Below are 13,201 nucleotides of genomic sequence, written 5' to 3' on the forward strand. Positions count from 1 at the left end.
CAGGGGTCTGTGGACCCTTGCTAGCGGGGACGATAAGATTACTTTTAGGAAGGTCTAGTTTAAATTTAAAAGGGGTACAAATACAAACAGGAGTCATTGATTCAGATTACAATGGGGAAATTCAAATTGTTATATCTACTTCTGTTCCCTGTAAAGCAGAGCCAGGAGAGCGTATAGCACAGCTCCTGATTGTGCCGTATATGGAAACGGGGAAAAGTGAAATTAAACTAACAGGAGGATTTGGAAGCACAACTAAACAAGGCAAAGCAGCTTACTGGGTGAATCAAATTACTGATAAACATCCTACCTGTGAAATAACTATTCAGGGAAAGAAATTTAAAGGTTTTGTAGATACAGGAGCGGACATTTCAATTATTTCTCTACAGCACTGGCCATCCACTTGGCCAGTTCAACCCACTCAATTTAACATAGTTGGAGTTGGTAAAGCCCCTGAAGTATATCCAAGTAGTTATATTTTGCCTTGTGAAGGGCCTGATGAACAACCTGGGACTATTCAACCAATTATAACTTCTATACCTATAAATTTATAGGGAAGTGATTTATTGCAATGCTCAGTTATGATTTCATACAGTTGAACAACTGATGACAAAAACAAAAAAGAGGGAGAAACAGGGATTACAGGACAGCCCATATGTAATTGAATCTAACATTATTATCTTTAAACTTTTTTTTTTTTTTTTTTTTTTTTTAACTCATCCATGTTTCTGTTTATATACAGGATAACAAATTCAGGAACAATGGGAAAGTAATATATGAAACCTTAATAGGAAATACAATAGAGATTACAAAACACTACCATTTGATTTTTTATGCAAATACTTCAATCTTCCAATATTTTTACTCACTTGCTAAATAAAGCACATGACTCGAAATCCTAAATAATTCTGTTAGTCTAAATCTTTTAAAGAATAAAATGTTGGTGAAAAACCAAAATTGTTTAGTAAGGTATGTATGACCTTGTTTATTATCTATCACAGACATGAAGATGATCATAGTTAATACCAATTTAAGCTTTACAGAATACTGTTTTAGGCCCAATATTGATATGTTAAATGAAGGTATCAGAGAATCTTGTATTTATGGCATCAGGTTATAAAGATCTATTCAAAACCATTTTTGTCAAAGTTTAAACACTGGAGCAAAAGTCAAATTGTTTCTAAATGAGACACAAAATGATTCTTGCTAATAATACAAATTTTGTCCCATGGGTAATACTATTGTCTTTTTCTTTTTTAAAAAAATTTTTGATTTTTATTTTAGATTCAGGGAACACATGGGCAGGTCTGTTAGCTGGGTATACTGTGTGATGTTGAGGTTTGGGGTATGGATGATCCTGTCACCCAGGTAGTGAGCAGAGTCCCCAGTAGGTAGTTTTTCAGCTCTTGCTCCCGCTCCCCAACCTACCTCCCCAGTGTCTATTATTCCCATGGGTCCTCAGGTATTACTATTTTCAAATTTTTTTCTTTACATGAAACTACTGAAAGCAAAAGTATGTCATGCTTATAGGTCACTCTGTACATTTATCATTCTATTAATAAACATCTTAAATAATTATGTAGTATATTAAGGCCATAAACCAAATCATTATCTCCTATCAAAGGACTACTGTTATTCAATCATCTAGAAAATTCATTTTAGGCAGGACTCAGTGGCTCACGTCTGTAATCTCAGCACTTTGGGAGGCTGAGGTGGGTGGATCATGAAGTCAGGAGTTCGAGACCATCCTGACCAGCATGGTGAAACCCCGCCTCTACTAAAAATACAAAAATTAGCTGGGCGTGGTGGTGTGTGCCTGTAATCCCAGCTACTCAGGAGGCTGAGGCAGGAGAATCACTTGAACCCGGGAGGCAGAGGTTGCAGTGAGCTGAAATTGCGCCATTGCACTCCAGCCTGGGCGACAGAGAGAAACTCTGTCTTAAAAAAAAAATTCATTTTAATGGGTTATGTTACAGGGTTGAGGTCAGCCTACAGACACAAAATAGGTTAACTGAAAATTTTTTTTTTTGTATCAGGTTTTAATTTTTTCATTGAAACAGGATTTGGTGGTGGGGATACTAAATGTGGCAGGGTTCAACAAATTTACATTTTATCAAAATAAAGTTCTTAAAGAATACAATGATAGCATATGCTTTAACTCTTATAGCACAAACCCACATATTAATTGATGGTCACAGAAAAATACTGTAATGGTTTAAACAAAAGTTTTAAAATACATCAATGACACAAGTTTCAAACAAAATGCAGTGATCAAAATACTTAACTGTCCTTTCATCAAGCTTTTACAAACACAATCAGTCTTCACTGTCTGAGCAAATCAGTTTTAGTTTCTTCATGGTCCTCCATCTGTCTTTTAATATGACACTTGTCCGGTTGTTGAATTTATAATGCAATAGTATTTTAGACCAGTTTCCCTCTCCATGTTTCCTCACGCCAGATCTCAAATTCTTGTCTTCTTCCCAAAGCCATGCTTGTTTTTTTTTAGCTTGATGTTTTTCAGGAGTTACCAGTTGACTCTTTGAAATAGGTATTCTGCTTTCAGTGGCTCTTCTGCTTTCTTTTTTCTTTTTTGTACTTTGAAGAGTTCCTACTCTCCTTTCTTTCTTATTAAGGTCTTGTTGCTGGGTTCCATGTTGCAACTTAGATAAGAAAAGATTCTTGTGAGACCTTTTTCTTGTATCCAAATTAGCTTCAGTTTCCATTTCAACATCATTACCATTAGGTTTATCTTGAGAAATTATTGTTCTTGTTCTTTTACTTTCTACTACTTTTGCTGCTGCCTTCATTAGAAAGGTTGATGATTTTTCACTTAGCACATAATTCACATAACTCTTAATTTTCTCCATCATGTGATTGTAGCTGAAGTGTTGAAAAAAGGAATGAAATGTATCTTTCTGAGAGATTATCATAAGCAATTTGCTTTTGAGAGGCATATAAGAATTTGGATCACCAAATATTCTTTCAAAGACTTCTTCTGCTTCTGTAAAGTTGTCATTTTCCATACAAACAGCTATAGCCTGAATTTTAATTAAATTCTATATTTCTTCATGAAGTTTGTCATGTTCCTTTTCAATTGAACCCCAAATCATCAGGGCTGATTCCAAGGGTGTAATTCGTTCATCATTTTCAAACTGTACATCAAGGGTTTTTCCTGCTGCAATGCTTGTCAAAAACTGACATATGCATATTGTTCTCAACTGGTAAGCTGTTAGACTGGATAGTCCATGAATAATAGCCTCTGCGCTGTTGCGGGTCCGGCAGAAGTCCTCAGGGCGGCCGTCGCGGAAAGCTCAGCAAAGAGAGAGGCAGAGGAAATCGAGCATCCAGCCAGCAGCCACAGCCTCGGCCTCAGCCACCAGGCCCGGGTCCTCCTCCTCCTCCTCGGGGGCTCCCACCTGCACCCAGCACTCGAGCAGTTCCTGGCACTCGAACTGCTCCTCGTCGTTTCTCTCTGTTTCTGCCATCTGCTCCTCAGTAGGGTTGGCATCCCTACCATCTGCACAGCCCCAAGGGCTCGGGGCCCAGCTTTAAATTTTTTGAGCCTTCCTAAAAGCCAGATGTTATCAGCAGCTGAACAGCATCTACAGAAACCAGCTGCAAAGACAGAAGCAGAACAACTGGTTTGGTGGAAATATCCAATACCAAAAAGTTGAGAAATCGGTAAAATAATAACTTGGGGTAGAGGTTATGCTTGTGTTTCTCCAGGCCAAAATCAACACTGATTTGGATACCCTCAGGACACCTGAAACCTTATCATGAACCAGATGCTGAGGAAGAGATTCTGGGAGGATCCCGAGTACCCCCCAGTTGCAGTCATGTCAAGACTGATGCTCAGGAGGATCCCAACTGTCATGAGCAACACCCATCGAACACAGCCATCCACCTGGGAACAGATCAAGAAGCTGTCACAGATGGTGGGAGAAAACCTGAGGAAAGCGGGACAACCAGTCACAATGAGTAATTTAATGGTAGCTATGATAGCAGTGATCACCATTGCCGTGAGTATTCCTTCAACAAGGGCTGACACAGAGATCAGTTATACTTATTGGGCATATTTGTCAATTTTGGCTGGCAATAATGCCTGGATATAATCACTTTATGACACAGTTACACATGCTTTCTGGTCTCAATATTTACCATAATAAGTCTGCTTCTATAATTGAGGCATACCACCCTCAAAAATCTATTTGTAAACAAAATTGAACCTGGCCAGAAAAAATGAATGTACTTTTTTAGGAAGGTTGCATTGCAGAACAGGCAGAGGTGCTGCACAACGAATCCTATGGAATCATTATTGATTGGTCCCCTAAGGGGATGTTTAGCTTGAATTGCACCTCTTAGTCTGCATGTCACAGCCACACTGTGTTCAACTGGTCTGAACAGAATGGTCAGATGGTACAAATGGTAAGACGTATGGCAAGAGTTCCTATTATCTGGAACCATGGCAGTATAGGGGCACCTCAACCTCAAATGATATGGCCCATTGTAGGAGCTAAACATAAGGATTTGTGGCAACTGTTAATAGCTCTTAATAAGATCAAAATTTGGGAAAGAATAAAAAAGCATCTAGAAGGACACTCTGCAAACTTGTCTTTGGATATTGCAAAATATATATATATATTTAAAGCATCCCAGGCACACCTGACCTTAATGCCAGAACTGGAGTGCTCGAAGGAGCTGCAGACAGATTAGCAGCTAGTAACCCATTAAAATGGATAAAAACACTTAGAAGCTCTGTGATTTCAATGATGATTGTGCTTTTAATCTGTGTTGTTTGTCTTTATATAGTCTGCAGATGCTGATCTTGACTCCTGTGAGAAGTAGCTCACCGTGACAAAGCTGCCTTTGCTTTTATCGCTTTGCAAAACAAAGAAGGGGGACAAGTTGGGAACAGGCCCCAAAATCTGGCCATAAACTGGCCCCTAAACTGGTCATAAACAAAATCTCTGCAGCACTGTCACATGCTTGTGATAGCCTGACGCCCACGCTGGAAGGCTGTCGGTTTACCGGAATGAGGGCAAGGAACAGCTGGCCCACCCAGGGCGGAAAACCACTTAAGGCATTCTTAAACCACAAACAATAGCATGAGCTATCTGTGCCTTAAGGACATGTTCATGCTGCAGATAACTAGCCAGAGCCCATCCCTTTACCTCGGCCCATCCCTTTATTTCCCATAAGGAATACTTATAGTTAATCTATAGAAACAATGCTTATCACTGGCTTGCTGTCAATAAATATGTGGGTAAATCTCTGTTCAAGGCTCTCAGCTCTGAAGGCTGTGAGACCCCTGATTTCCCACTCCACAATCTGTATTTCTGTGTGTGTGTCTTTAATTCCTGTAGCGCCGCTGGGTTAGGGTCTCCCCGACCGAGCTGGTCTCGGCACATATTCATAAATTATTTGCCTGGGCCAATGTCCAGAAGAATTTTTCATAGTTTTTCTACTAGAATTTTAATGTTTTCATGTCTTAAATTTAAGTATTTGATCCATCTTGAGTTGATTTTTATAAAAGGTGAGATATAGGGATCCAGTGTCATTCTTCTACATGTGGATATCCAGTTTACCCAGCATGATTTATTAAATAGAGTGTCTTTTTCTCAATTTATATTTTTGTATGCTTTGTTGGAGATCAGTAGGTTGTAGGTGTTAGGCTTTATTTCTGGGTTCTCTATTCTATTCCATTTGTGTATCTACTTTTATGCCAGTACTGTGATGTCTTGGTAACTGTAGTCTTGTAGTATAATTTGAAGTCAGGTAATGTTATGGCTCCAGATTGGCTATTTTTGCTTAGGACTGCTTTGGCTGTTTGTACTCTTGTGGTTCCCTATGAATTTTAGGATTAACTTTTTAAATCTCTAAAAAATAATGTTGGTATTTTGATAAGAATTACATCGAATCTGTAGATTGCTTTGAGCTGTATTCTCATTTCCGCTATATTGATTCTTTCAATCCATGAGCATGGGATGTGTTTTCATTTGTGTCCTCTACGATTTCTTTTAGTACTTTTGTAGTTGTCATTGTAGAGCTCTTTTACCCCATTGGTTAAGTATATTCCTAGGTGTTTTTTTTTTTTTTTTTTTTTTTTTTTTTTTTTTGTAGCTATTGTAACAGGGATTGAGTCCCTGATTTCCTTCTCAGCTTGGTCATTGGTTATAGCAGGGCTACTGATTTGTGTATACTGATTTTGTAACTTGAGACTACTGAATTCATTTATCAAATATAGTTGTCTTTTGGAGGAGTCTTTAGGGATTTCTACATATAAAATCCTATCATTGGCAAACAGGAATATTTTCACTCCTTCTTTTCCAATTTGAATAACCTTTATTTCTTTCTCTTGCCTGATTGCTCTGGCTATGACTTCCAGTACTATGTTAAATAGAAGTAGTGAAAGTGGCCATCATTGACTTGTTCCAGTTCTCAGCGGGAATGCTTTCAACTTTTCCTGATTTACTATGATAAAGTCTGTGGGTTTGTCATATATGGCTTTTATAATTTTGAGGTATGTCCCTTCTATACTTAGTTTGTTAAGGATTTTTATATTAAAGTTATGCTGGAATTTATTGAATGCTTTCTCTGAATCTATTAAGATGATCATATGGTTTTTGTTTTAATTCTGTTTATGTGATGTATCACATTTATTGACTGACTTGTGTTAAACCATTCCTGCATCCCTAGGATGAAACCCACTTTACCATAGCGTATTATCTTTTTTGAGGTGCTGTTGGATTCAGTTTGCTAGTATTTTTGTGAGGTTGTTTGCATCTGTGTCCATCAGGGATATTGGTCTGTCATTTTTTTTGTTGTTTTTATGTTCTTTACTGGTTTTTGTATCAGGGTGATACTGGTTTCATCAAATGAGTTAGGGAAGTTTCCCTGTTAATCTTTTGTAATAGTTTCAGTAGGATTGGTACCAATTCTTCTTTGAATGTCTGGTATAATTCAGCTGTGAATCATCTGGAACTGGGCTTTATTTTTGGCAATTTTTAACTTACTGATTCAGTCTCGCTGCTTGTTAATGGTCGTTCAGGGTATATATTTCTTCCTGATTTAATCTAGGAAGGCCATATGTTTCAAGGAATTTATTCATTTCCTCTAGATTTTCTAGTTTGTGTGCATAGAGGTGTTCACAGTAGTTTCAAATGATCTTTTGTATTTCTTTGGTGTCAGTTTTAATGTCTCCATTTTCATTTCTAATTGAGCTTATTTGAATCTTCTCTCTTCTTTTCTTGGTTAATCTACCTAATGCTCTATCAACTTTTTTAATCTTTCCAAATAATCAAGTTTTCGTTTTGTTGATCTTTTTGATTTCATTTTATTTTTGTTTCAGTGTCATTAGTTGTGTTCTGATCTTTGTTATTTCTTTTCTTCTGCTGGCTTTTAGTTTGGTTCATTATTGTTTTTCTAGTTCCTTGAGGTGTGACCTTAGGTTGTCAATTTGTGATGTTTCAGATTTTTTGATGTAGGCATTTAGTACTATAGACTTTCCTTTTAGCACTGCTTTTGCTGTAACTCAGGGATTTTGATAACCTGTGTCATTATTATTAATCATTTTAAATAATGTTTAAATTTCCATCTTGATTCCATTGTTAACCCAAAAGTCAGTCAGGAGCAGATTGTTTAATTTTCATGTATTTGTATAGTTTTGAGGGTTCCTTTCAGAGTGGATTGCTAGTTTTATTCCACTGTGTTCTGAAAAGTTACTGGGTATGATTTCAATTTATTAAAATGTTTTGAGACTTGTGGCCTATTATATGCTCTATTTTGGACAATGTTTTATGTGCTGATGAAAAGAAAGTATATTCTGTTGTTCTTGGGTAGAAGTTCTGTAAATATCTGTTAGGTCCATTTGTTCTGGAGTGCAGCTTAAATTCAGTGTTTCTTTGTTGACTTTCTGCCTTGAGGATCTGTCCAGTGCTGTCAGTGGAGTGCTGAAGTTCCCCACTATTATTGTGTTGCTGTCTATGTTTTTTCTTAGGACTAGTAGTAATTGTTTTATGAATCTAGGATCTCCAGAGTTAGGTGCATGTATATTTAGGATTGTAATTTTTTTTTGTGGGATTGATCCTTTTATCATTTCATCATGACTTTCTTTGTATTTTTTTATTGTTGTTGCTTTAAAGTTTGTTTTATCTGATACAAGAATAGATACTCCTGCTCTCTTTTGGTTTCCATTTGCATTTAGTATATATTCTATCCCTTGTACCTTGAGTCTATATGAGTCCTTACATATTAGGCGAGTCTCTTGAAGATAGCATACATTTGGTTTGTGATTTTTAAACTCTATTCTGCCAATCTGTTATCTTTTAAGTGGAGCATTTAGGCCATTTATATTCAAGGTTAATGTTGGAGTGTGAGGTGCTGTTCTATTCATCATATTAGTTGATACCTATACTTTGTTTTCTTCATTGTGTTATTGTTTCATAGGCCCTCTGAGTTTTATGCTTTCAAGAGGTTCTATTCTGTTGGATATTGATCTTTTGTTTCAAGATTTAGAACTAATTTTAGCATTTCTTGTAGAGCTGGTCTGGTAGTGATAAATTCTCTCAGCATTTGTCAGAAAAAGACTATTTATCTTCCGTGTATGAAACTTAGTTTTGCTGGATACCAAATTCTTGACTGACAGTCATTCTGTTTAAGGAGGCTAAAGATAGGGCCCCATTCCCTTCTGGCTTGTAAAGTTTCTGCTTAGAAGCCTGCTGTTAGTCTGATAGGTTTTCCTTCTTAGGTTACCTGATGCTTTTATCTCACTTCTCTTTGAGTTTAGAAAGCCTAATGACTGTTTGCCTTGGTGATACCCTTTTTGCAATGAGTCTCTCAGGATTTCTCTCAGGCTTCTTGTATTTGGGTATCTAAATCTCTATCAAGGTCCGGGAGCTTTTCCTCGATTATTCCCTAAAATAAGTTTTCCAAACTTTTTGCTTTCTCTTCTCCCTCAGGAACACCATTCCTTTTTAGATTTAGCCCTTTTACACAATCCCATGTTTTTTGGAGACTTTGTTCATTTATTTTGATATTTAAAAAAATTGTCTGAGTTAATTCAAAAGCCTTGTCTTTGAACTGTGAAATTCATTCTTCTACCAGGTCTAGTGTATTCTTAAAACTTTCCACTACATTTTGTAATTCCCTAAATGTGTAATTCATTTGCAAAAGTTCTGATTGTTTTTTCTTTAAAATATCCATCTTTTAGAAAATTTTTCATTCATATTCTGATTTTTTTTAACATTTCTTCAGGTTGGTTTTTACATTTCTTTCGTATCTCCTTTAGTAGCTTAACAATCAACCTTTTGAATTTTTTATCTGGTTTTTCAATGATTTCTCTTGGTTTGGATCCATTCTTGGAGAGTTAGTGTGAATTTTTGAGGGTGTTATAGAACCCTATTTTGCCACATTGCCAAAATTACTTTTTTGGTTCCTTCTCATTTGGCTAGACTATTTTTTCTTTTTCTTTTTCTTTTTTTTTTTAAGTATTTATTGATCATTCTTGGGTGTTTCTCAGAGAGGGGGATGTGGCAGGGTCATAGGATAATAGTGGAGAGAAGGTCAGCAGATAAACACGAGAACAAAGGTCTCTGGTTTTCCTAGGCAGAGGTCCCTGCGGCCTTCGGCCCTGTTTGTGTCCCTGGGTACTTGAGATTAGGGAGTGGTGATGACTCTTAATGAGCATGCTGTCTTCAAGCATCTGTTTAACAAAGCACATCTTTCACCGCCCTTAATCCATTTAACCCTGAGTTGACACAGCACATGTTTCAGAGAGCAGGGGGTTGGGGGTAAGGTTATAGTTTAACAGCATCCCAAGGCAGAAGAATTTTTCTTAGTACAGAACAAAATGGAGTCTCCTACGTCCACTTCTTTCTACACAGACACAGTAACAATCTGATCTCTCTTTCTTTTCCCCACATTTCCCCCTTTTCTTTTCAACAAAACCGCCATCATCATCATGGCCCGTTCTCGATGGTCACTATCTCTTCGGAGCTGATGGGCACACTTCCCAGATGGGGCGGCCTGGCAGAGGCGCTCCTCACTTCCCAGACGGAGCGGCCGGGCAGAGGAGCTCCTCACTTCCCAGACGGGGCGGCCGGGCAGAGGCGCTCCTCACTTCCCAGACGGGGCAGCCGGGCAGAGGTGCACCTCACTTCCCAGATGGGGTGGCGGCCAGGCAGAGGTGCTCCTCACCTCCCAGATGGGGTGGCAGCTGGGCAAAGGCGCTCCCCACATCCCAGATGATGGGTGGCCAGGCAGAGGTGCTCCCCACCTCCCAGACGGGGCAGCCCGGCAGAGGCGCCCCCCACTTCCCAGACGGGGCGGCCAGGCAGAGGTGCTCCTCACATCCCAGATGGGGCAGCCGGGCAGAGGCGCTCCTCACCTCCCAGACGGGACGGCCGGGCAGAGGCGCTCCCCACTTCCCAGATGAAGAGCGGCCGGGCAGAGGTGCCCCCCACTTCCCAGATGGGGCGGCCGGGCAGAGGCGCTCCTCACATCCCAGACGGGGCTACTGGTCAGAGGCGCTCCTCACATCCCAGATGGGGCGGCTGGGCAGAGATGCCCCTCACCTCCCAGACGGGGCAGCCAGGCAGAGGCACCCACTTCCCCGACGCGGTGGCCGGGCAGAGGTGCTCCCCACCTCCCAGATGAAGGGCGGCTGGGCAGAGGCACCCACTTCCCAGACGGGGCGGCTGGGCAGAGGTGCTCCCCACCTCCCAGATGGGGTGGCTGGGCAGAGGCACTCCCCACCTCCCAGATGAAGGGCAGCCAGGCAGAGGCGCCCCTCACCTCCCAGGCAGGGTGGCCGGGCAGAGGCGCCCCTCACCTCCCAGACAGGGCGGCCGGGCAGAGACGCCCCTCACCTCCCGGACGGGGAGGCCGGGCAGAGGCACCCACTTCCCAGATGGGGCGGCCGGGCAGAGGCGCTCCCCACCTGCCAGATGAAGGGCGGCCGGGCAGATGCGCCCCTCACTTCCCAGGCAGGGCGGCCGGGTAGAGACACTCCTCACTTCCCAGAGGGGGTGGCCAGGCAGAGGCGCTCCTCACTTCCCATTCGGGGCAGCCAGGCAGAGGCGCTCCTCACTTCCTCCCAGACGAGGCAGCCAGGCAGAGGCGCTCCTCACTTCCTCCCAGACGGGGCGGCCAGGCAGAGGCGCTCCTCACTTCCCATTCGGGGCAGCCGGGCAGAGGTGCTCCTCACTTCCTCCCAGACGGGGCAGCCGGGCAGAGGCACTCCTCACTTCCCAGACGGGGCGGCTGGGCAGAGGCACTCCTCACATCCCAGATGATGGGCAGCCAGGCAGAGACGCTCCTCACTTCCTAGACAGGGTGGCAGCCTGGCAGAAGCGCTCCTCACCTCTCAGATGGGACGGCCGGGCAGAGGGGCTTCTCACGTCCCAGACGATGGGTGGCCAGGCAGAGACGCTCCTCACTTCCTAGACGGGGTGTCCGACAGGCAGAGGCTGTAATCCTAGCACCTTGGGAGGCCAAGGCAGGCGGCTGGGAGGTGGAGGTTGTAGCGAGCCGAGATCACGCCACTGCACTCCAGCCTGGGCAACATTGAGCATTGAGTGAGCGAGACTCCGTCTGCAATCCCAGCACCTCGGGAGGCCGAGGCGGGCAGATCACCTGAGGCCAGGAGCTGGAGACCAGCCCGGTCAACACAGCGAAACCCCGTCTCCACCAAAAATACAAAAACCAGTCAGGAGTGGCGGTGCGTGCCTGGAATCCCAGGCACTCGGCAGGCCGAGGCAGGAGAATCACTGGAGCCCGAGGCAGGGAGGTTGCAGCGAGCTGAGATCATGGCGGCACAGTCCAGGCTCTGCAAGAGAGGGTGACCATAGAAAGAGGGAGACGAGAGGGAGAGGGAGACCGTAGAAAGAGGGAGACGAGAGGGAGAGGGAGGACTATTTTTTCTAATTATTCTTGAATTGATTTTTTATTAAACTGTGTTTTAAAAATTTCTTTCCCCCTTTAAGGATTTGAGTTTAATGTTTACAGTTTATTGTAGCCTATTCAGTTCTCGGTGCTTTCAAGGCTGAAGACTCTGTATGAGTTCCTTGGTTATAGAGAGTCTTTGTATGTTAACTTCCCCAGATGCTTGTTTTAGTAGCAGTGTGCTTGGTATATGATTAAGTTCACTGTTTCCTGTGGGGTTGGAGTGGCAGAGGTATCTTTTGAAACTTGTCTCTTTCCCCTGTAGTCTGCACTTTTTTATGTATTTATTTTTCTTCTGTATTTTATTTATTGGGTTGAATAGTTTACGCTTCAAGTCAGTAGAGGGGGTGTCCCCAGATAGAAACTGGCTGTGTCTAAAACAGGTGGATAAATAGAATACCCCATGGTGGGAAGAGGTCCCAGCCTTGAAAACAGTGGCTGGAGGAGCTCTCAGTGTAATGCACTAAGGTCTTATCAGGGGGAAGGGTGGGAGCCATGTCAGCTCCCCTGCCAGGCTAGCCGGAAAGCAATCCCATTGCCAGTCACATTCCTGACTCAGTGTTTCAGCTATTCAGATCAGACAGATACCTCTTTTTATCTGAAAGAATATTGATAGTCCAAGTAGAGAAGTATTGTGACTCTACTCCTCATGTAAGCCTGAACCTGGAGGGCACTACTTCTGTGGGGATACAGTCACCTTGAAGTGTTCCAGAAAAGCTGTCTACAGATGCACCCATGCTGAGCTCCCATGGTGGAAGCCCATGCTTTGTCTTCAATGGTGGATGAGTGGGAAAAGAAGTCCCCTTCTCCAAGACCCTTCACAAGCACCAGGGCTGCCTGACTGTTAAGGTAGAACCGCAGACTTTCCCTGCTGAGCCCAGCACCTTACCTGTACCTCTGCTGAAGGAAACTTCCCACAAGTAGAAATTTCTGGAATGCAAGGCCTTCCATCTGGATTTTTTTTTTTTTTGTCCTACAAGGGTGCTACTTTGATGTGGTACGCTGCCACTTCCCCTAGGAGTAGGAGTCCCTGAGAGCCAGACTACTCTGAATGCTGCCGCTTCTCTGGGTCTAGTTGCCCAGTGGAGCTGGCACATTCCAGGCTGTTGCTGGGGAGTGTCTGCTGGGGATCCAGTGATATGGCCTGTCTTCAAGTCTCCCAGCAGTGGGTACCAACACCAGCACTGATGGGGGTGACAGGGGAGTGATGTCGACTCTTTGAATTTCCTTGGTTATAAATAGCCTTAGTATGACAGCTTTCTGT

The 13,201-nt window shown here is 42.4% G+C and overlaps 1 pseudogene; it reads right to left on the reverse strand.

Moving 5' to 3' along the window:
• Positions 1-2,219: 2,219 nt before the first annotated feature.
• The window catches only part of TERF1P7 (TERF1 pseudogene 7), a 32,777-nt pseudogene continuing 21,795 nt past the window's right edge, over positions 2,220-13,201 (reverse strand).

This window comes from Homo sapiens, chromosome X (assembly GCF_000001405.40).
Source record: "Homo sapiens chromosome X, GRCh38.p14 Primary Assembly".
In the NCBI taxonomy this organism is placed as follows: domain Eukaryota; kingdom Metazoa; phylum Chordata; class Mammalia; order Primates; family Hominidae; genus Homo; species Homo sapiens.